The 23,667-nt window shown below is 50.1% G+C and overlaps 1 protein-coding gene and 1 pseudogene across 3 annotated transcripts in view, besides 1 other annotated feature; one reads left to right on the forward strand and one right to left on the reverse strand.

Annotated features, from left to right (window-relative positions):
* GTF2IP1 (general transcription factor IIi pseudogene 1) overlaps nt 1–2,759 on the reverse strand; it is a 52,323-nt pseudogene extending 49,564 nt beyond the window's left edge. Inside the window, exon 1 of the transcript NR_002206.3 lies at nt 2,347–2,759. The product of NR_002206.3 is annotated as a general transcription factor IIi pseudogene 1 (transcript). The remainder of the gene's footprint in view (nt 1–2,346) is intronic.
* SPDYE14 (speedy/RINGO cell cycle regulator family member E14) overlaps nt 2,259–23,667 on the forward strand; it is an 80,225-nt gene continuing 58,816 nt past the window's right edge. Inside the window, exons 1-2 of one of the 2 annotated variants that reach the window (NM_001382494.2) lie at nt 2,259–2,367; nt 23,063–23,158. The gene's annotated coding sequence lies outside the window, so the exon portion shown is untranslated. The remainder of the gene's footprint in view (nt 2,368–23,062; nt 23,159–23,667) is intronic. The other variant, NM_001382495.2, reaches the window with a different exon arrangement.
* Nucleotides 2,655–2,834: a silencer, noted in NCBI's record as "silent region_18293". NCBI's record gives its function as "represses an Ori minimal core promoter by ATAC-STARR-seq in GM12878 lymphoblastoid cells {active_cell/tissue: GM12878}" and the evidence as "EXISTENCE:reporter gene assay evidence [ECO:0000049][PMID:35858748]".

Consider the following 23,667-nt stretch of genomic DNA (forward strand, 5'->3'; position numbering starts at 1 on the left):
TATTGCAGGAACAATCTAAGGGGTTCTACCTGGATGGCTGATTATTGAAAACAGTTTAAATGCTATGTCGGCAGGCTGCGACCCATTAACACTTGCTAAAAAGCCATTTCCCACAATCGTCCCACACCATCCACACAGCAGTTCTGTGTCCATGAGGGGGCCAAATAGTGCTATCTCTATTTTACAGACGGACGAAGTGTGAGCCAGAGGAGACAGACTTCGCCTCAGCCAGGCAGGCAGGGGGCTGTGGTCACACATGACCTGAAGCCATGATCTGGGCTCAGAGTGCATGGGGTGGCAGGTCCTCAGGCATTTGACGAATGTTCCGCACCTTCTGAGGCCGGACCATGGAAACACAGCGATGGCCTTTGGCCTCTGAGTCATCTTGAAACTGGACTAGTCAGCTGGGTCACCTGGGCCTGGGACAGGACAGGCTGCTTTCTGCAGGAGGGAGGAAGGGGGACCCACTGAGGGACAGGTCTTCTTGTGTTCCCAGAGGCCAGCAGGGGGGCTTGACCCCAGAGACACGCCTATCCATGAGTACCCAAAGGGGATCCTGAGTTGGGGGCTGGAAGAAGGCCAGTCTCTCCACCAAGGGAAAGGGGCTGAGGGACCCTGCCCTTTGCTGCCTTTCTAAGAAGCCCCCAAATGCCCCCCGCTTCCAGCACCCAGGCCCTGTGCACAGCCGCAGCCTGAGTCATCATTCTCATTTGAATGGTGGCCGAGAAATCAGCCAGGGGGCTGCCCAGGGCTGAGGGCCAAGGCTAGGAAAAACAAGGCTGTTCTGTTACCTCCAAGCTTTGGAACGTCAAGCCCGGCTAGGGAGTGGGGGGCAGAGGGCAGGCAGAAGCAGGATCTGAAGGTGTCAACAGCCAGAGGGGGCTTTGTGTGAGGGGTGGGGGCGCGGTTCAGAATCCGAGCTGTTGGCTTTTGTTTTCAAATGACCTGTTTAATCATTACCCTTTGCAATCAACGGGGAGCACAGGCTCCGTGGCAGAGGCTTGGCGACTATTTCAAATCTCCATCCCCTACTGAGCAGCCGGAGAAGAAAGTAAACAAGATGCCACCGGCAGGTCTGGCTCCATCTCGCAAACAATAGCCGGACTGAGCACCCGGCTCAGACACACACATCAAAGTGAGATTTCCAAGCAAGAACTTTTCACAGGCAGATAACAGGCTGGAATTATTTCCCTGTGTCCCTAGAGCTCAGTGCCAAAGGGGGCAGCCTAAGGGGGCTGTCATTTTCACGCTAACCTTGACCCGAAAAGTATTCATTCATTTTGCAGTGAGGGAGAGCCACCACCGCCCCAAACCGCGAAAAACCAACCAGTAACAACTTTATCATTCCTTTTTAACAGTCACAATGGTGGGCAAATGAGACTTAAGTTACAGCAGCTAGCTGGCACTCACACTCCCCTCGGCTCAGGCTCCTTAAACAACAACAACAAAACCCTAATGCAAGCACCCACCGGGGCTCACAATGTCAAACCCTTACCTGGCATAGGGAAAATCCAAGTGAGAGAGAGAGAGAGAGAGAGAGAGAGAGAGAGAGAGAGAGTGTGTGTGTGTGTGTGTGTGTGTGTGTGTGTGTGTGATTCCCTCTTTTACCTTCCAAGGCCTTCAACTATTTTTCCCCCTGCAGCATCCAAGCCCAGCCTCAAGGCAGATGCATAAACATGCCTGCTCCTCCCCTTCTACGGTTGGGCAAAACACCCCCCCACCCCCTTTCCAGGACCCCAAGGAGAAAGAATCACGTCCTCTGCAGCCCCTCCCTGGCCCTCGCCCACCCCCCGTTTCCCCCCCGCAATTCCAGGCCGTCCGCAGCAAGCCTCGTAGGCACCTTGAGATAAACACCCACTAATGATTTTATGATTTTCTGCTCTGGGTAACCGCGCTCAGCGGAATCCCTCCCCCCGCCGTGGCGACGGGGCCGGCCCAACCGAGGGATGGGGGGATGGGGGCGTTTGTTTTTTCCACGGCCTCGTCCCCACACCTGTTTTTCATTCATTCATTCGTTCGTTCCTTCATCCATTCACGGATCCGTCACTGCAGCCGCCCCAGCCCCCCGGATTTCGGGGAGGGGGCTGCGATGGGGGAGGGGGTGGGAGATGGGGGGGACGACAGAGGTGGGGGGTGGCGCACCGGGGGGTGGAAGGTTGCGAGGGGTCCGGGAGCCAGGACCCTGCGGCTCCGGCTTTGTCAGACGCGAGCGAAGCGGCGGCGGGGGCGGGGCGGGGGCGCTCCCGGGGCCCGAAGTTGTTTTCCGAGGCGCGGCGGCGAGGACAGCGGCCCGGGGTGCGCCCCCTTTGTCTGTCCCCGGCCGGCGCCGCGTCCCCGCGCGCTTACCTGGTCTTGGAGGACAGGAAGGCAAGTTTGATCAGGCCGTAGGTGAACAGCGGGATACTCTCCTTGGCGACGCTGGCAACTTGCAGCCGGTGCTCCAGGATGTGGAGTTCCATCGTCCGCCCGCGCCCCGTCCGCGGCGGCTCATCCGCGGGGGGACGAGCCGCGGCCCCCGCCCCCTCCGCGCCCTGCCGGCACCGACAGCCGGCCCGGAGACCCGGGAGCTCGGCGCCGGGCGCGGGGGGCGGCGGCGGCCGGGCCGGGCCGGACAAAAGGGAGGAGGCCCGCCAAGTTGCAAGGGGGAGCCGCGGGGCGAGGGAGGCAGCGCCGGCGGAGCAGCAGCCGAGGGGCCGAGCGGCGGAGCAGCGGCGCGCGGCGCCCGGCGCGGGGAGCAGCTGGTGTTCGCTGTAACAAACAACTTGCCACTCAAACGCCGGTCCCCGCTGCGCATGCGCGGCCCGCGCGCGGCCTGCCGGGACTTGTAGTCCGCCTGGGGGGGCTCCCCCGGTGCTGCTGCTGCTGTTGCTGCTGTTGCTGCCGCGGGGGCTGGGCGGCCGGAGCTACCGGCAGCCCGGTGCACGGGAAATGCAGGAGCGCGGGCACCCTCAGGACTAAGGGGAAGGCCGAGGGGAGGCACGGGGCGGGTGGAGCCAGCCTGAGCCTAGGCGCGCCCTCTGGCACCCAGTCAGGCTCGGTACTAGGTGCTTGGAGTGTAAAGCGAGCAAACCAGACGACTCCGGTGCTGGAGAAGGCCCGAGTCTGGGAGCGCCAAGATGTAGGGCAATCGGTCATGAGAGTGCGGAGAAGCCAAACCGAAAAGCTTGCTGGGGACCCGGAGGGAGGGGATTGACAGGTCAAAGGGGGTGACCCGGGGGAGGGGACACTCAGGCTGGGTTTTGAAGGATGAATGGGAGTTCGTAGCAAGAGAGTGAGGGCGCGCGGATGGAGGACAGAGGCCTTCCAAGCTGCAGGAACAGCGTGTCCTAGGGCACAGAAGCGTGAAAGCCCCCACGGTGCTGTGTTTGGCTTTGTTGCAGCGGAAAATGTGAGGGAGGAGAGAAAAGAGATAAGGCAGGCATAGTCACCAGGAGTCAGGTCGGGAGGGTCATGTGTGCAGAGCTAATGAGGTGGCCATTTATCCCACTGGAGAGGGGGTGATGGGGACTGCGAAGGGTGAATTCGGGGAAAATGTAAAGTGCGTCTGAGGCACTTCCAACCCCAGGGCCCACGCGCCCGGACCACAGAGGTTCCTCCTTCATGGCTGTCTGGTTTTGAAATGTTCTGGGTTAAAGTGATTGGTGCTTCCACCTTTGGCAGAGTAATCTGGGGACGCGATGGGTGAGATCTATCTGCCAGGGCAGGCTGAGAACTCTCTTTCAGGGGAAAATTGCAGTTGTGCTCCCTCACCTTCCCTCAGCCCTCCTCTGTTAGGTAGGAACATACTAGGTTTTGTCATTTCCACAAAAGGGTGAAAAGCCTGTAATCTGTGGTAGATAGATCTTAGAGCATGCATATCCCCCTCCCACTTTATTTTCTTTTACTCTTTTTCTTTTATTTATTTATTTTTTAGAGACAGGGTCTTGCTCTGTTGGCCAGGATGGAGTGCAGGGGCGCAATCATAGCTCACTACAGCCTCGAACTCCTGGGCTTAAAAGATCCTCCCACCCCAGCTTCCCCAGCAGTTGGGACTACAGTTATGCCTGGCTAATTTTTTTTTTTTTTTAACTTTCTTTTTTCCCCCCCGAGATGGAGTCTTGCTCTGTCGCCCAGGCTAGAGTGCCATGGCGCGATCTTGGCTTACTGCAACCTCCTCCCCCTTGGTTCAGCGATTCTCGTGCCTTGGCCTCCCAGCTAGCTGGGATTACAGGTGCTGGCCACCACGGCTGGCTAATATTTGTATTTTTCGCAATGTTGCCTAGGCTGGTCTTGAACTCCTGACCTCAGGTGATCCACCCACTTCGGCCTCCCAAACTGCTGGGATTACAGGCATAAGCCACCATGCCTGGCCTTTTTTTTTTTTTTTTTTTTTTTGAGTCGGAATCTTGCTCCATCACCCAGGCTGAAGTGCAGTGGCACGATCTCGGCTCACTGCAACCTCCCCCTCCGAGGTTCACGCCATTCTCCTGCCTCAGCCTCTCGAGTAGCTGGGACTACAGGTGCCCGCCACCACACCCGGCTAATTTTTTTGTATTTTTAATAGAGACAGGGTTTCACTGTGTTAGCCAGGATGGTCTCGATCTCCTGACCTCATGATCCGCCCGCCTCGGCCTCCCAAATTGCTGGGATTACAGGCGTGAGCCACCACACCCGGCCTTTTTTTTTACTTTTTGTAGAGAGGGGTGTCTCACTATGTTGTTCAGGCTAGTCTCGAACTCCCAGCCTCAAGTGATCCTCCAGCCTCAGCATTTTTTTTTTAAAGCTTATCTGTCTCTCCCCTACACAATCTCAACTCCACAAAGGCAGTGATTTTTGTCTGTTCTCCGCTGTGTTCCCATTGTCAGCAATAGTGACTGGCCTATGAGAGACACTCATTCAATATTTGTGGAATGCATCAATGCACCTATCTATGCCTTTAGAATCTAGAGATCCAGAAATCCCAAACAGAAATGCATTCAGGGGCCAGACAGATTACACAGATGTGTGAAGCAGTTGGCTATCAGATAGTTGGAAATGTGGCTGGGCGCGGTGACTCACGCCTGTAATCCCAGCACTTTGGGAGGCCAAGGAGGGTAGATCATTTGAGGTCAGGAGTTTGAGACCAGCCTGACAAACATGGTGAAACCTCGTCTCTACTAAAAACACAAAAAAATTAGCTGGGCATGGTGGTGCCTTCTCCTGAGGCAGGAGAATCGCTTGAACCCAGGAGGTGGAGGCTGCAGTAAGCTGAGATCGCGCCACTGCACTCCAGCCTGGGTGATAGAGTGAGCCTCCATCTCAAAAAAAAAAAAATGTTGGAAATGGTACAGGTGAAGGGAAGTCTGCCTGAAGGCATAAAATTCAGTTTCTTAAGAAAAAAAAAAACAACTGGCAGGGTGCAGTGGCTCACAACTATAATCCCAGCATTTTGGGAAGCCAAAGCAGGCAGATCACAAGGACAGGAGTTCAAGACCAGCCTGGCCAGCATGGTGAAACCCCGTCTCCACTGAAAATACAAAAATTAGCCAGGCATGGTGGTGTGCATCTGTAATCCCAGCTACCTGGGAGGCTGAGGTAGGAGAATCACTTGAACCTGGGAGGCAGAGGTTGCAGTGAGCCAAGATTGCACTACTGCACTCCAGCCTGGGCGACAGAATGAGATTCTGCCTCAAAAAAAAAAAAACACAAAAAACAAAACAACAACAATAAAAAAAAAAAAGCAGGTGAAACAAAACAAGGCTAAAGGCAAGATTTGGCTAGTTTTCTGACTTCTGCTCTGGATGGCCTAAGGTAGCATTTTTCAATCTGCAGACTGTGTATGACCCATGTAGTGGATGGTGAAATCAATTTAGCAGGGCATGGCAATTATTTAAAAAAATAATTAAACAGGCTGGGTACAGTGGCTGATGCCTGTAATCTCAGCATTTTGGGAGGCCAAGGCAAGAGGATCTCTTGAGGCCGGGAGTTTGAGACCAGCCTGGGCAACATAGCAAGACTGCTCATCTCTACAAAAATAAAAATATAAGAAACTAGCTAGATGTGGTGGCGTGCACCTGTAGTCCTAGTTACTCAGGAGGCTGAGGTGGGAGGATCCCTTGGGCCCAGGAGTTCGGAGCTGCAGTGAACTATTATTGTTTTTTTTTTTCTTTCTTTCTTTTTTTTTTTTTTTTTTTTGAGATGGAGTCTCACGCTGTTCCCCGGGCTGGAGTGCAGTGGCACAATCTCGGCTCACTGCAACCTCTGCCTCCCAGGTTCAAGCATTTCTCCTGCCTCAGCCTCCCAAGTAGGTGGGATTACAGGTGCCTGCCACCATGCCCAGCTAATTATTTTTATTTTTATTTTAGTAGAGACGGGGTTTCACTATGTTGGCCAGGCTGGTCTTGAACGCCTGACCTCTTGATCCACCTGCCTCGGCCTCCCAAAGTGCTGGGATTATAGGCGTGAACCACTGTGCCCGGCCGCTGTGAACTATTATTGTACCACTGGACTCTAGCCTGAGTAACAGAGTGACATCGTCTCTTCAACAAAATGGAAAAATTCCCGGCAAAAAAAAACACAAAAAAAATTTTAAATAGACTAGAAAATGACACAGTGTTGCATATAAAATGGGTAGGTTACTATCATCTTTTCTATACCCCAGGGCACTTTAATCTTGTCCATGTGTGTAAGGGGTGCGTGCCTGTGTGTGTCTGCCTATGTGCACTAGAACTTGATATAAAGGTATGTTTTACTGTGGGTCTTGGTAAAAAAAAAAAATATATATATATATATTTTTTTTTTTTTTTTTGAGACAGGGTCTTGCTCTGTCACCCAGGGTAGAGTGCAATGGCATGATCTCAGCTCACTGCAACTTCTGCCTCTTGGGTTTAAGCAATTCTCCTGCCTCAGCCTCTCGAGTAGCTGGGATTACAGGCGCGCGCCACCACCCACGGCTAATTTTTGTATTTTTTTGTTTGTTTTTGAGACAGAGTCTCACTCTGTAGCCAGACTGGAGTGCAGCATCATGATCTCAGCTCACTGCAACCTCCTCCTACCAGGGTCAAGTGATTCTTCTGCCTCAGCCTCCCGAGGAGTTGGGACTAGAGGCATGTGCCACCATGCCAGCTGATTTTTGTATTTTTAGTAGAGGCAAGGTTTCACCATGTTGGCCAGGATGGTCTTGATCTCTTGACCTCGTGATCCACCCACCTTGGCCTCTCAAAGTGCTGGGATTACAGGTGTGAGCCACCACGCCCAGCCAATTTTTGTATTTTTAGTAGAGACGGGGTTTTACCATGTTGGCAAGGCTGGTCTCAAACTCCTGGCCTCAGGTGATCTGCCCGCCTCAGCCTCCCAAAATGCTGGGATTACAGGCGTGAGCCACTGTGCCTGGCCAAAACTGTTTAAAAGCATTGTGGGCTTTATATTTCATCAAGCCAGACTGCCATAAAGTTTGCAAATTTAGACCACCTTGTTTTTGACTTGCAGAATTGCTTTCGCTCAGTTGTATTTGGTGCTTAAGATTTCTGTGAAACTAACTTCCGAAATTCATGTTGGGGTGTTAAGGAAATTGACCTCTGAGTTGCCAAGTCCTGAGGATTCAGGCTGGAATTGGGGTGAAGCAAGTTGAGGCACTTTGGGCCCTGAATTTAAGGAGGTACTGGCTCCCAAGGTAACACAAGTGTTGGATGGGCACCGTCCTGGTAGAATTCCCTCCTCTTTGGGTTCCTTAGCACTGCCCTTTTCTGGTCTTTCACTGATTGACTCTAGGTCTGGCTATGTGATTTTCACGGCTTTGGCCAATGGGGTATTGGCAAATCTGCTCCCTAAGTCCTGTGCATTGGGACTTGCCCTCTCGGAAAGAATGCTGCCCTGAGACCATCACGCTGTAAAGAAGCTTGCAAGAAAGATCACATGAAGAGGTCCAGGTGTTCCAGCTGTGTCAGGCCTCTGCCAACAGCTAGCACCAACTACTAGAGCATGCTAAGATGTGAACGAGACCATCTTGGACTTTGCATCTGACTGTCTAACTGAGTGCAGCCACACACATGAGCCCAGGTGAAACCAGAACTATCCAGCCAACCAATAGAAACACGATGAATAAAAAATAGCTGTTGGCTGGGCACAATGGCTCACGCCTGTAATCCCAGCACTTTGGGAGGCCAAGGCAGGTGAATCACAAGGTTAGGAGATTGAGACCATCCTGGCTAACATGGTGAAACCCCGTCTCTACTGAAAATACAAAAAATTAGCCGGGCATGGTGACGGGCACCTGTAGTCCCAGCTACTTGGGAGGCTGAGGCAGGAGAATGGCATGAACCCAGGAGGTGGAGCTTGCAGTGAGCTGAGATTGCGCCACTGCACTCCAGCCTGGGTGACAGAGCGAGACTCTGTCCCCCGCCCCCCCAAAAAAAATAGCTGTTGTCTGGGCACAGTGGCTCACACCTGTAATCCCAGCACTTTGGGAGGCCAAGGCGGGTGGAGCCCTTGAGGTCAGGACTTCAAGACCAGGCGGGGCAACATGGCAAAACCCCTTCTCTACAAAAAAATACAAAAATTACCTGGGCATGGTGACGCACGCCTGTAGTTCCAGCTACTTCGGAGGCTGACGTGGGAGGATCACTTGAGCCCAGGAGGTTGAGACTGCAGTGAGCCGTGTTTGCACCATTGCATTCCAGCCTGGGTGACAGAGTGAGAACCTGCCTCTGACAAAAAAAAAAAAAAAGTTATTTTTCGTCATTAAGACTTGGAATGGTTTGTTGGGTAGCAATGGATATAGCTGACACATCCCCGCAGCCCTCACCTTCTCTCACTATGTGGGTGTACCCAGTCTCTGGCTTCTAATGTCAAGGGCCTCCAACTTGACACTTCCAGCTCAGAGTATGTTCTTAAGGCCCTCCCTCACTTATAGAACTTCCTAGTGGTTAGCTATGATGCATGGCAAACACATCTGGCAACAGTAACATCAGCATACCTTGAAAATGACCCCATGGTCTAAGAAGAGTATGTGTTGAAAGTTCTAAGCTAAGGAATCCAGGAGTGGCCAACCCGGAGATTCATTTCTTATCTATGAGGAACATCTGAACCCCTGGACCATCTAGGGGATGGTGGCCTTTGTTTGGGGTTAAATGAAGGTTGCCAGAGGGAGGGTGCTAGGGGGAGGGTGCTAAGTGGAAATGCTCTATAAACTGCATGCTTTTTTTTTGTGTGTGAGATGGAGTCTTGCTTTGTCACCCAGGCTGGAGTGCAGTGGCGCCATCTCGGCTCACTGCAAGCTCCGCCTCCCAGGTTCATGCCATTCTCCTGCCTCAGCCTCCTGAGTAGCTGGGACTACAGGTGCCCGCCACCACGCCCAGCTAATTTTTTGTATTTTTAGTAGAGACGGGGTTTCACTGTGTTAGCCGGGATGATCTCGATCTCCTGACCTTGTGATCCACCCGCCTTGGCCTCCCAGAGTGCTGGGATTACAGGCATGAGCCACCGTGCTGGGCCCAACTGCATGCTTTTTATAAGCAGGTGTGGTTCTCCTGTTCCACCTGCCATGTCTGGACTACCCTGTAAGTCCCCTCAATAAACCCTATGTCTTGCTTGCTGGCCAGGCATGATGGCTCATGCCTGTAATCCCAGCACTTTGGGAGGCCAAGACAGGCAGATCACTTGAGGTCAGGAGTTTGAGACCAGCTAGGCCAACATGGTGAAAACCCCATCTCTACTAAAAATACAAAAAAAAAATTAGTTGGGTATGGTGGCATGCACCTGTAATCCCAGCTACTTGAGGGGCTGAGGCAGGAGAATCGCTTGAACCGGGGAAGCGGAGGTGGCAGTGAGCCAAGATCACGCCATTGCACTCCAGCCTGGGCAACTAGACTCTGTCTCAAAAAACAAACAAACAAACAAACAAAAAACAGGCCAGGTATGGTGGCTTATGCCTGTAATCCCAGCACTTCGGGAGGCTGAGGCAGGTGGATCGCCTGATGTCAGAAATTTGAGACCAGCCTGGTCCATGTGGTGAAACCCTGCCTCTACTAAAAATACAAAAGTTAGCAGGGCATGGTGGTGAGTGACTGTAATCTCAGCTACTCGGGAGGCTGAGGCAGGAGAATCGCTTGAACCTGGGAGGCGGAGGTTACAGTGAGCTGAGATTGCACCACTGACTCCAGCCTGGGCAATAGAGTGAGATTCCATCTCAAAAAAACAAAACAAACACAGTACAAACCAAAAAACAAAACCCAGCTGGGTGCAGTGGCTCACGCCTGTCATCCCAGCATGTTGAGGGGCTTGAGTTGGGCAGATCACTTGAGGTCAAGAGTTCGAGACTAACCTGGTCAATATGGTGAGATCCCGTCTCTACTAAAATTACAAAAAAATTAGCTGGGAATGGTCGCATGTGCCTGTAATCCCAGCTACTAGGGAGGCTGAGGCAGGAGAATCACCTCAACCTGAGAGATGGCGGTTGCAGTGAGCCAAGATGGCGCCACTGCACTCCAGCCTGGGTGACAGAGTGAGTGAGACTATGTCTCAAAGAAAAAAAAAAAAAAAAAAAGAAAAATCTCCAAGTATGTTTGGAAGAGGTTGACCAACTGCCCTGATTTTCCTGGGACCAAGGAGAATTTCAAGATGTAAGACTTTCATTTTTGAAACCAGGACATTCTCCAGGAAGACAAATTGGTCACAGGACTTTGAAACAATTTACTTATGTAAATCTATGAACTCTAAATACAGATCGAGTATTGTGAATGAAAATTAAGCATCCAAACTGAGATGTGCTATCATGTGTAAAATGAACCCTGGATTGCAAAGATTATTATGAAAAAACTTCAAAGTATTTTATTAATAATTTAAAAATATTGATTATATGTTGAAACACTTTTTTTTTTTTTTCTGAGATGGAGTCTCACTCTGTCACCCAGGCTGGAGTACAGTGGTGCAATCTTGGCTCACTGCCACCTCTGCCTCCTGTGTTCAAGTGATTCTCCTGCCTCAGCCTCCTGAGTAGCTGAGATTACAGGCATGCACTACCACGCCCAGCTAATTTTTTTTTACAGCAGAGACAGGGTTTCACTGTGTTGGCCAGGCTAGTCTGGAACCCCTGACCTCAAGTGATCTGCCCGCCTCGGCCTCCAAAGTGCTGGGATTACAGGCGTGAGCCCCCGCACCAACTTTTTTTTTTTTTTTTTTTGAGATGGAGTCTTGCTCCCTCGCCCAGGCTGGAGTGCAGCAGCACCATCTTGGCTCATTGCAACCTCTGCCTCCCGGGTTCAAGCGATTCTCCTGCCTCAGGCTCCTGAGTAGCTGGAGCTACAGGCGCGCGTCATCATGCCCAGCTAATTTTTGTATTTTTGGTAGAGACGGGGTTTCACCATGTTGACCAGGCTTGTCTCGAACTCCTGACCTCAGGTGATCTGCCTGCCTCAGCCTCACAAAGTGCTGGGATTACAGATGTGAACCACTGTGCCTGGTCAAAATGCTAATATTTTGGCAGCACTTTGGGAGGTCGAGGCAGGCGGATCACTTGAGTTCAGGAGTTTGAGACCAGCCTGGCCAACATGGTGAAACCAAACCCCATCTCCACTAAAAATACAAAAAAATTAACTTGGTGTTGTGGCGGGCGCCTATAATCCCAGCTACTCAGGAGGCTGAGCCAGGAGAATTGCTGAAACCTGGGAGGCAGAGGTTGCAGTGAGCCGAGATCATGCCACTGCACTCCAGCCTGGGCGACAGAGTGAGACTCTGTCTCAAAAAAAAAAAAAAAAAAAAAAATAGCAGAGTGAAGTCAGCACCCAATTCAACATGGCAGGTTCTAGAGAGGTTCAAATCATGATGGGGCTGGGTGCGATGAGGGGAGGTCTCTTCTGTTACAGGCTACCGTTAGTCCACACTTGGTCTGACCTAGTGGCCTTCTGTGCATGGCGGCCGCCCGGCATAGATTTTGATGATTTCCCATGTCACAAGCCTTGTCTTCACAAGGTGAGCTTCTGCAGCCTCCCTGTGGCTAAGATGCAGGCACATCAGACCTGTGTATGGCTCAGGTTCAGAAGTGAGCACAAGGTTCATGGATGGGATTTCAGAGAAGGCAGCAGGGATTTGTCTGGTAACAATTACTGTATACTACATAGCTCACACTTAGTGGAGAAAAATGACAAAATAGCCCGGTGCAGTGGCTTATGCCTCTAAGCACGGTGGCTCATGCCTGTAATCCCAACAACTTGGGAGGCTGAGATGGGAGGATTGCTTGAGACCAGGAGTTTGAGACTAGCAAGATCCTGTCTTAAAACATTTTTTAAAAAAAATAGCTGGGGATGGTGGCACACGTCTGTTGTCCCAACTACTTGGGAGGCCGAGGCAGGAGAATCACTGGAACTGAGGAGTTCAAGGCTGCAGTGAGCTGTGATTGCACCACTGCACTGTTGTCTGGGCAGCCAGGCAAGACCCTGTCAAAAAGAAAGAATGAAAGAAAAGAAAGACAAAAGAAAGAAATGAAAGGCCAAAGAAAGAAAAGAAAGACGAAAGAAAGAAAAGATGAAAGAGAGAGAGAAAGAGAAAGAAAGAAAGAAAGAAAAAGAGAAAGAAAGAAAGAAAAGAAAGAAAGAAAGAAAGAAAGAGGAAAGAAAGAAAGAAAGAAGAAAGAAAAAGCAGGAAGGAAGGAAAATAGGACATGACATTATATTAACTCATTAATTCTTCTTTTTTTTTTTTTTTTTGAGACGAAGCCTCACTCCATCACCCAGGCTGGAGTGCCGTAGCACAATCTCAGTCACTGCAACCTCTGCCTCAAGCAATTCTCATGCCTCAGCCTCCCGAGTAGCTGGGATTACAGGTGCACACCACAATGCCCAGTTAATTTTTTTTTTGTATTTTTAGTAGAGACGGGGTTTCACCATGTTGGCCAGGCTGGTCTGGAAGTCCTGATCTCAGGTGATCCTCCCGCCTCGGCCTCCCAAAGTGCTGGGAGAATTCTTTTTTTTTTTTGAGACAGGGTCTCACTCTTACCCAGGCTGGAGTGCAGTGGCGTCATCACGGTTCCCTGCAGCCTCAAACGATCCTCCCACCTCAGCCTCACAAGTAGCTGGGTCTACAGGCACACACCACCACACCTGGCTAATATTTGTATTTTTTGGTAGAGATGGAGTTTCATCATGTTGCCCAGACTGGTCTCAAACTCCTGATCTCAAGTGATTCTCCCACGTCTGCCTCCCAAAGTGTTAGAATTACAGGTGTGGGCCACCGTGCCTGGCCTGAACTCACAAATTCTATAGGTTGCTAATTCAGACAGGGCCTGTGAGAACAGTTTGTCTTTGCTCTGTGGTATCTGGCCTTTACTTGGAAAGACCTGAATGCTGGCGGTGATTTGGATGCCTGGGGGCTGGGGTCGCCTGGAAGCTTCTTTACTCTGTGTCTGAAGCCTGGTTGACGGGTGCCTCTCTCCATGGGGCTAGGGCTTCTCACAGCTTGGCAGCTGGATTCCCAGAGAGGATATCGCAGGGAGAGTCTGGAGAGCAAATGTGCCAAGAAAGTCAGCTGGAAGCCACATGGCCTTTTATGACCTAACCTCAGAAATCAAGCTGGGTGCGGTGGCTGCTGGACGCGGTGGCTCAAGCCTGTAATCCCACCACTTTGAGAGGCTGAGGTGGGTGGATCATTTGAGACCAGGAGTTTGACACCAGCCTGGCCAACATGGTGAAACTCCGTCTCTACTAAAAATACAAAAATTAGCTGGGTGTGGTGGTGCGTGCCTATAATCCCAGCACTTTGCGAGGCTGAGGTGGGCAGATCACTTGAGGCCAGGAGTTTGACACCAGCCTGGTCAAGATGGTGAAACTCTGTCTCTACTGAAAATACAAAAATTAGCCAGGCGTGGTGGTGCATGTCTACAGTCTCAGCTACTCGGGAGCTGAAGCATGAGAATTGCTTGAACCCAGGAGGCAGAGGTTGCAGTGAGCCGAGGTTGCGCCCCTGCACTCCAGCCTGGGCAACGGAGCAAGACTCCATCTCAAAACAACACACAAAAAAAGAAATCATAGGGATGTCACCTGCATGGTATTCTCTGGGTTGAAACAGGTACAACCCCAGCTTGAGTTAGGGGAGGGGGCTGATATAGTCTGAATATTTGTCCCCTCTAAATCTCGTGTTGAAATGTGATCCCCAGTATTGGAGATGAGGCCAAGTGGGAGGTGTTTGGGTCATGGGGGCAGATGCCTCATGAATGGCTTGGTGCCCTCCCTGTGGTAATGAGTGAATTCTTGCTCTATTCACTCATTCTTTCAAAGAGCTGGATCTTTGAAAGAACCTGGCATGTCTGTTGCTCACCACGTGATCTTGTCGGCCCCCCTTCATCTTCCACTATGATAGGAAGCTTCCTGCGGTCCTCACTAGCAGCAGATGCTGGCACCATGCTTCTTGTACAGCCTGCAGAACCACGAGCCAAATACACCTCTTTCCTTTATAAATCACCCAGCCTCAGGTATTCCTTTATAGCAACAAAAACAGACTAAGACAGGGTCATAGACCCTGCTTCTTGATGGAGGAGGACAAAGTTACTTTGCAGAAGAGCATGTTGGATGAAGTTACTTTTGTAGCCATTTTGGGAAAATACAACTTGACATTTAGAAAGGTGAAGTCCTGGAGAAGGTGTGGCTGTGGAAGCTGCCACAGCTTCATTTTCTTCCTTCCTTCTTTCCTTCCTTCCTTCCTTCCTTCCTTCCTTCCTTCCTTCCTTCCTTCCTTCCTTCCTTCCTCCCTCCCTCCCTCCCTCTCTCCTTCCCTCCCTCCCTCTCTCTCTTTTTTTTTGAGACAGAGTCTTGCTCTGTTGCCCAGGCTGGAGTTCAGTGGTGTGATCTCAGCTCACTGCAATCTCCGCCTCCTAGATTCAAGTGATTTTCATGCCTTAGACTCCCAAGTAGCTGGGACTACAGGCGCCCACCACCACACCCGGCTAATTTTTGTATAGCGGAGATGGGGGTTCACCATGTTGGCTAGGCTGGTCTCGAACTCCTGACCTTAAGTGATCCACCCACCTCAGCCTCCCAAAGTGCTGGGATTACAGGCATCAGCCACTGTGCCTGGCCCACAGCTTCATTTTCTTATCAGGACAGTTCTGCCCCATGGTGCTGGGTAAGGGTCCTATAACTTTAAGCCTAGACTTTATTTCTGCAGCTTTCCAAAAGATCCTGTTCTCTGTTCAATGTTTTAAAATTAAGCTTTTTGGCCGGGTACTATATAGCTCATGTCTGTAATCTCCGCACTTTGGGAGGCCAAGGTGGGAGGATCGCTCGAGGCCAGGAGTTTGAGACAAGTTTGGCCAATACAGTGAAAGCCTGTCTCTATAAAATAAATAAATAAAATTAGGCTTGTTATCTTAAGATAATTGTAGATTCACTTGCAATTGTAAGACATTAATACCCAGAGAGCCCTCGTGCCCTTCATGCAATTTCCCCCAATGGTAACAGCTTGCAAAACTGTAGTACAATCTCACAACCAGGAAATTGCCTTTGATACCATCCACTGAACTTATCCAGGTTCTACCAGTTTTACATGTAATTGTGCGTGTGTGTTTAGTTCCATACAATTTACTCAGTACTCTAAAAATAGACTCTTCATCTTACAATGGTTTTAAATTTACAGAAAAATTGTTAAGACAGTAGGATTCGCATATATCCTGTACCATTTCCCCCTTTTATTAACATCTTGCACTGGTATAGTATATTTGTTACCGTTAATGAACTGAAATTAATACATTGTAATTAACTTAAGTCCATACTTTAGTTAGATCTCCTTAATTTTTACCAATTTCCTTTTTCTTTTCTTTTTTTTTTCTTTCTTTCTTTTTTTTTTTTGAGACGGAGTTTCACTCTTGTTGCCCAGGCTGGAGTGCAATGGCGCGATCTTGGCTCACCGCAACTTCCGTCTCCCGGGTTCAAGTGATTCTCCTGCCTCAGCCTCCCGAGCAGCTGGGATTACAGGCATGCGCCACCACCCTGGCCAATTTTGTATTTTTAGTAGAGACGGGGTTTTCTCCATGTTGGTCAGGCTGGTCTTGAACTCCCGACCTCAGGTGATCCACCCACCTCAGCCTCCCAAAGTGATGGGATTATAGGCGTGAGCCACCGCGCCTGGCCCAATTTCCTTTTTCTGTCTGAAGATCCCATCCGTGACACCATGTGACAGTTAGTAGTAATGTCTTCTTGGGCTCTTCTTGGCTGTGATAGTGTACAAAAAAAAATTAATTTTCTTTGAGACAGTCTCACTCTGTCACTCAGGCTGGAGAGTAGTGGTGTGATCATAGCTCACTGCAGCCTCAATCTCCTGGGCTCAAGTGATCCTCCCTCCTCAGCCTCCCATATTTTTAATACAGACAGGGTTTCACCATGTTGGCTAGGCTGGTCTTGAACTCCTGACCGCAGGTGATCTGACCTCAGGTGATCTGCCCGCCTCAGACTCCCAAAGTGCTGGGATTACTGGTAGGAGCCATCACACTTGGCCAGTTTACTTGATGTTTTAAAAATAAATTCTCTGCTATGTAAACTGACCAGAATGGATTCTGTTGATTGCAACTAAGACCCATAACTGATGCAGTTGGCATTCAAGCCTCACGCCGGCTAATTTTGTCTGTGTGTGTGTGTGTGTGTGTGTGTGTGTGTGGTAGAAATGGAGTCTTGCTATGTTGCCCAGGCTGGTCTCAAACTCCTGGCCTCAAGTGATCCTCCTGCCTTGGCTTCCCAAAGAGCTGGGATGACGGTTGTGAGCCACCACACCTGGTCAGTTTACTTGACATATTAAAAATAAATTTCTGGCCAGGTGAGGTGGCTCACACCTGTAATCCCAGCACTTTGGGAGGCCAAGGGGGGGTGGATCACTTGAGGTCAGGAGTTCGAGACCAGCCTGGCCAATATGGTGAAACCCCATCTCTACTAAAAATACAAAAATTAGCTGGATATGGTGGCACATGCCTGTAATTTCAGCTACTCGGGAGGCTGAGGCGGGAGAATGGCTTGTACCCTGGAGGCAGAGGTTGCGGTGAGCCAAGATCGTGCCACTGCACTCCAGCCTGGGCGATAGAGCAAGAATTCATCTCAATAAATAAATAAATTCATTCATTCATTTCTTTGCTATGTAGACTGACCAGAATGGATTCTGTTGCTTGCAGCTAAGACCCATAACTGATGTACTTGGCATTCAAGGCTCACTGTGGTGTGGTCTTTGCTTATATCTCTGGTCCCATCTGCCACCATTCCCAGCCTAGTACTTTACCCTCCAGTGAAAGATCTCTCTCCCTCTTCCATACTCTCTCATGGCCTCTGACCCTTGTACAGGCTGACAGATCCATATTTATTTCACCTCTGTCATCACCTCCTCCGGGAAGCTTTCTGTGATTTTTCCCAGCAGTGTGGGGTACCTGCCTCTCATCTGTATGTCCACAGTTCTTTGGGGCAGGGCCATATGCTCGTTAAGATCATGGTCTCTGGCCAGGTATGGTGGCTCATGCCTGTAATCTCAGCACTTTGGGAGGCCAAGCTGGCGGATCACTTTGAAGCCAGGAGTTCAAGACCAGACTGGCCAATATGGCAAAACCCCTCTACTAAAAATACAAAAATTAGCTGGGTGTGGTGGTGTATGCTTGTAATCCCAGCTACTTGGGAGGCTGAGGCAGGAAAATCACTTGATCACTTGAACCTAGGTGGCGGAGGTTGCAGTGAGTGGAGATTGTACCACTACACTACAGCCTGGGCGACAGAGACTGTCTCAAAAAAAAAAAAGGCCGGGCGCTGTAGCTCACGCCTGTAATCCCAGCACTTTGGGAGGCCTAGGCGAGCAGATCACAAGGTCAGGAGATCGAGACCATCCTGGCTAACACGGTGAAACCCCGTCTCTACTAAAAAATACAAAAAATTAGCTGGGCATGGTGGTGGGTGCCTGTAGTTCCAGCTACTCTGGAGGCTGAGGCAGGAGAATGGCGTGAACCCAGGAGATGGAGCTTGCAGTGAGCCGAGATCGCGCCACTGCACTCCAGCCTGGGCAACAGAGGGAGACTCCACCTCAAAAGAAAAAAAAAACCACAAAAAACAAACAAACAAACAAAAACAAAAAAAGGCCGGGGGGCGTGGTGGCTCATGCCTGTAATCTCAGCACTTTGGGAGGCTGAGGTGGACAGATCATGAGGTCAGGAGTTCGAGACCAGCCTGGCCAACATGGTGAAACCTTGTCTCTACTAAAAATACAAAAATTAGCCAGGTGTGGTGGCGGGCGCCTGTAATCCCAGCTACTTGGGAGGCTGAGGCAGGAGAATTGCTTGAACCTGGGAGGCGCAGGTTGCAGTGAGCTGAGATCGTCCCATTACACTCCAGCCTGGGTGACAAGAGCAAGACTCCATTTCAAAAAAAAAAAAAAAATCGTGGTCTCTGATGTCAGACATAGCTGAGTTCTGACACTGCCTTCTTCTAGCTGCGTGGTTTTAGGCATGTTGTTTATTTTTTATTTATATTTTTATCTTATTTTATGATTATTTTTATTATTATTTTTTGACAGAGTCTCGCTCTGTCACCCAGGCTGGAGTGCAGTGGCGTGATCTCAGCTCACTGCAACCTCTGCCTCCCAGGTTCAAGCAATTCTCCTGCCTCAGCCTCCTGAGTAGCTGGGACTACAGGCGCATGCCACCACACCCAGCTAATTTTTGTATTTATAGTAGAGACGGGGTTTCACCATGTTGGCCAGGCTGATCTTGAACTCCTGACCTCAAGTGATCTGCCTGCCTTGGCCTCCTAAAGTATTTTATTATTTATTTTTTTACAAAAGAGATGGAGGTTTTACTAAGTTGCCCAGGCTGGTCTTGAATTCCTGGACTCAAGCAATCCTCCCGCTTTGGCCTCCCAAAGTGCTGGGATTACGGTCATGGATGTGATTACCACCACACCCGGCCTGAACACACTGTTTAATCTCTGTGAATGCTCTTTTCCTCCTAGGTAAAATAGCATAATAAGAGTTCCTGACTCATAGGTTGCAACAAAAACTGAAGAAAATGCTAAAAAGCACACAGCATGGCTGGGCGCAGTGGCTCAGGCCTGTAATCTCAGCACTTTGGGAGGGTGAGGTGGGTGGATCACGAGGTCAAGAGATTGAGACCATCCTGGCCAACATGGTGAAACCCCGTCTCTACTAAAAATACAAAAATTAGCTGGGCGTGGTGGTGCGCGCCTGTAATCCCAGCTACTCGGGAGGCTGAGGCAGGAGAATCGCTTGAACCTGGGAGGCGGAGGTTGCAGTGAGCTGAGATTGCACCACTGCACTCCATCCAGCCTGGTGACTTGAGTGAGACTCTGTCTCAAAAAAAAAAAAGCAAACAGCACACAAATTAGGCCCATGGTCAATGTTAGCTGTGGTCATTCCTATGGTCATGCCCAGAAGCCCTGACCTGTCATTCATCGCATGAAGTTGAAATGGTCCGATTCCATGGGGGCTGTCACTTCCCTTATACCAGTTGCTTAGCTCCAGGATGGCAGAGGCCACTCCTTTTTCATCTTTCTATTCTCAGAGTTGACCTAAAAATAGGTGTTTGTCAAGTGGCCTAAATGGATTACCCACCCCAGCTCCTGTAGTTCCTGCCACATGAGACACCATGAGAATCTTCTTTTCTAGCTCTGTGCCAGGAAAGCTTTTGCTGCCTCCGAAGACCTGGGAAGTTTTCTCCTTGGGGACAATTAGGCAACATGGCTCAAGGGCTGCTGCTGGTATCTGGAGTCTGTTAGCCTGGGTCCCTTCCCTTCCCCTTCCCTTCCCCTTCCCTTCCCCTCCCCTTCCCCTCCCCTTCCCCTCCCCTTCCCCTCTCCTTCCCCTCCCCTTCCCCTCTCCTTCCCCTCCCCTTCTCCTCTCCTTCCCCTCCCCTTCTCCTCTCCTTCCCCTCCCCTTCCCCTCTCCTTCCCCTCCCCTTCTCCTCTCCTTCCCCTCCCCTTCTCCTCTCCTTCCCCTCCCCTTCTCCTCTCCTTCCCCTCCCCTTCTCCTCTCCTTCCCCTCCCCTTCCCCTCTCCTTCCCCTCCCCTTCCCCTCTCCTTCCCCTCCCCTTTCCCTCGCCCTCCACTCCCCCTTCCCCTCTCCCTCCCCTCCCCCTTCCCCTCCCCCTCCCTTTCCCTTCCCCTCTCCCTCCCCTCCCCTCCTCTTTCTTTCTTTCTCTTTTCTTTCTTTCTCCTTTCTTTCTTTCTTTCTTTCATCTCTTCTTTCTTTCTCTTTCTTTCTTTCTTTCTTTCTTTCATCTCTTCTTTCTTTCTCTTTCTTTCTCTCTCTCTTTCTTTCCTTTTTTTTTTGGAGTCTCACTCTGTTGCCCAGGCTGGAGTGCAGCAGCACGATCTTGGCTTACTGCAACCTCTGCCTTCCAGGTTCAAGCGATTCTCCTGCCTCAGCCTCCCAAGTAGCTTGGAGCTTGGACTACAGGCGCCTGCCACCTCGCCCGGCTAATTTTTTGTATTTTTAGTAGAGACGGGGTTTCACCGTGTTAGCCAGGATGGTCTCAATCTCCTGACCTCGTGATCCACCCGCCTCGGCCTCCCAAAATGCTGGGATTACAGGCGTGAGACACCACACCCAGCTAATTTTTGTATTTTTAGTAGAGATGGAGTTTTACCGTGTTGGTCAGGCTGGTCTTGAACTCCTGACTTTAGATGATCCATCCACCTTGGCCTCCCAAAGTACTGGGATTACAGGCATGAGCCAGTGCACCCAGTCTAACCTGGGTTTCAATCCCAGCTGTGTGGCTTGCATCCTGTGTGAACCTTGGTGGAGTTATTTCCCTCTCTGTGCCTCATTTCCTTATCTGCTAGTTTGGCCTGACACACAGGACCGGCTACATAATTTGCAGGGCCCGTTCCAAAATGAAACTTGAGGGCTCTTGTTGAAAAATTATTAAGGATTTCAAAATGGCCACCGTACAGCATGAAACCGAGTGTGTAATTGCATGGCTCATGCCCCCTGAGACCGGCTCTGCTGACACTCACCCAGAGTGCATGCTGGTTTTTTCCTATCTTGCTCAGTGCTCTGTCCACAGTCCCTAGAACAGTAGGTACAGACTGAATACATGTTTATTGAATAGGCCGGGTGCAGTGGCTCATGCCTGTAATCCCAGCACTTTGGGAGGCCGAGGTGGGAGGATCACTTGAAACCAGTAGTTCAGGACCAGCCTGGGCAACAAAGCAAGACCCCATCTCTACAAAATGTAATAATAAAAAAAGAAATCAGCTGGTTGTGATGACAGGTGCCTCAACAACTCAAGAGGCTGAGGCAGGAGGATTGCTTAAGCATAGGAATTTGAGGTTGCAGCGAGCTATGCTCCTGCCACTGCACTGGAGCGTGAGTGAAACAGCCAGACTCTATCTCTAAAAGAAAATATTAAAATTTAAAAAAAATTAGTTGGGTGTGGCAGCACACACCTGCATCCCAGCTACTCAGGAGGCTAAGGCAGGAGGATCACTTGAGGCCAGGAATTGGAGGTTGCAGTGAGCTGTGATCACACCACTGCACTCCACCCTGGGTGACAGAATGAGACCCTATCTCTAAAAAAAAAAACCAATACAACAAAAACAAACAGATGTCAAAGGAGGGGCTCAAACAAATATAAATTAAAAACAGAAAGAAAGAAAGAAAGACATAGGCCAGGCACAGTGGCTCACTCCTGTAATCCTAGCACTTTGGGAGGCCAAGACAGGTGGATCACATGAGGTCAGGAGTTCAAGACCAGCCTGGCCAACATGGTAAAACCCCATCTCTACTAAAAATACAAAAATTAGCTGGGTGTGGTGGCGCATGCCTATAATCCCAGCTACTTGGGAGGCTGAGTCAGAATTGCTTGAACCCGGGAGGTGGAGGTTGAAGTGAGCCGAGATCACGCCATTGCATTCCAGCCTGGGCAACAAGAACAAAACTCTATCTCAAAGAAAAAAAAAAAAAAAAAAAAAGACCGGGTGCGGTGGTGGCTCATGCCTGTAATCTCAGCACTTTGGGAGGCCGAGGTGGGGGGATCACGAAGTCAGGAGATTGAGTCCATGCTTGCTAATTTGGTGAAAACCCGTCTCTACTAAAAATACAAAAAATTAGCCCGGCATGGTGGCAGGTGCCTGTAGTCCCAGCTACAAAAATTAGCCAAGCATGGCAATGCATGCCTGTAATCCTAGCTACTCGAGTGGTGGGGCACAAGAATCTCTTGAACCCAGGAAGCGGAGGTTGCAGTGAGTCAAGATTGCACCGCTGCACTCCAGTCTGGCCAACAGAGTGGGATTCTGTCTCAAAAAAAAAAAAAAGAAAAGAAAGAAAAGAGAATGCCTTTAGGAAAGGAAAGCCTCAATGCTCTTCCTGGCACACAGTAGATGCTCAGGAAGTATCTGTTGAATGAATGAATGAATGAATGAATGAATGAATGCATGGACAAAGCAATTCTTTGGCAGTCTTGCTTAAGGGCAGGCTCCCTTTGTGGCTTGTATTCTGTACTCTTTCCTGACTTATGAAGGAGGAAAGGAAGGAAACGGGTGTGTGTCCAGGGCTTCTCCTTGGTGCCCGTGGGTACATTGTTGCGTCTGATCCTCTGGAGAGGTAGGGATTCATGTGCCCTTTCTACAGATGGGGAGACTGAGGCTAGAGGAGGTTAGGAGGAAAGGTGCACGTGGACCCAGCTTTCCTTGGGTCTCCCCAGGGCTGCCCCAGGGCTGAGCAGGCAGAGGTGGTGAAGGAACACCTATGAGTCAGATCAGTGAGGGAACACTAGGCACCATGGTGAGGATGACAGCTCCAGGCTGTCCATAGGAAAGGCTGCAGCAGGACAAGAGGCCACTCAGTCTTTCCCTCCTATCTCTCTCTGCACCTGGGCTCACTTCCATCTGCCTCTTCTCCTCTCCTCCCCACTCCTCAGCTTGTGCCCTTTCAGCATTTTTTTTTCTTTCTTTTTGGTCTTAATCCATGGCTGAGGACTTGCCTGTGCGGTTTCTGTTGCCCAGGCTGCAGTGCAGTGGCATGATCCTGGCTCCCTGCAACCTCCGCCTCCTGGGTTCAAGCAATTCTCCTGCCTCAGCCTCTCAACTAGCTGGAAATACAGGTGCATGCCACCAAGCCTGGGTAATTCTTGTATTTTTAGTAGAGACGGGGTTTCGCCATGTCAGCCAGGCTGGTCTTGAACTCCTGACCTCAAGTGAGCTGCCCGCCTCAGCCTCCCAAAATTCTGGGATTACAGGTATGAGCCATTATGCCTGTCCTGCCTGCACAGTTTCTTTCTTTCTTTCTTTTTTATTATACTTTAAGTTGTAGGGTACATGTGCACAATGTGAAGATTTGTTACATATGTATACATGTGCCATGCTGGTGTGCTACACCCATTAACTCATCATTTACATTGGGTATATCTCCTAATGCTATCCCTCCCCACTCCCTCCACCGCACAACAGGCCCTGGTGTGTGATGTTCCCCACCCTGTGTCCAAGTGTTTTCATTGTTCAATTCCCACCTATGAGTGAGAACATGCGGTGTTTGGTTTTCTGTCCTTGCGATAGTTTGCTCAGAATGATGGTTTCCAGCTTCATCCATGTCCCTACAAAGGACATGAACTCATCCTTTTTTATGGCTGCATAATCCATAAATGGATTTCTTAATCCAGTCTATTATTGATGGACATTTGGGTTGGTTCCAAGTCTTTGCTATTGTGAATAGTGCCGCAATAAACATACGTGCCTGCCTGCACAGTTT

This window comes from Homo sapiens, chromosome 7 (genome assembly GCF_000001405.40).
Source record: "Homo sapiens chromosome 7, GRCh38.p14 Primary Assembly".
Classification (NCBI taxonomy): Eukaryota; Metazoa; Chordata; class Mammalia; order Primates; family Hominidae; genus Homo; species Homo sapiens.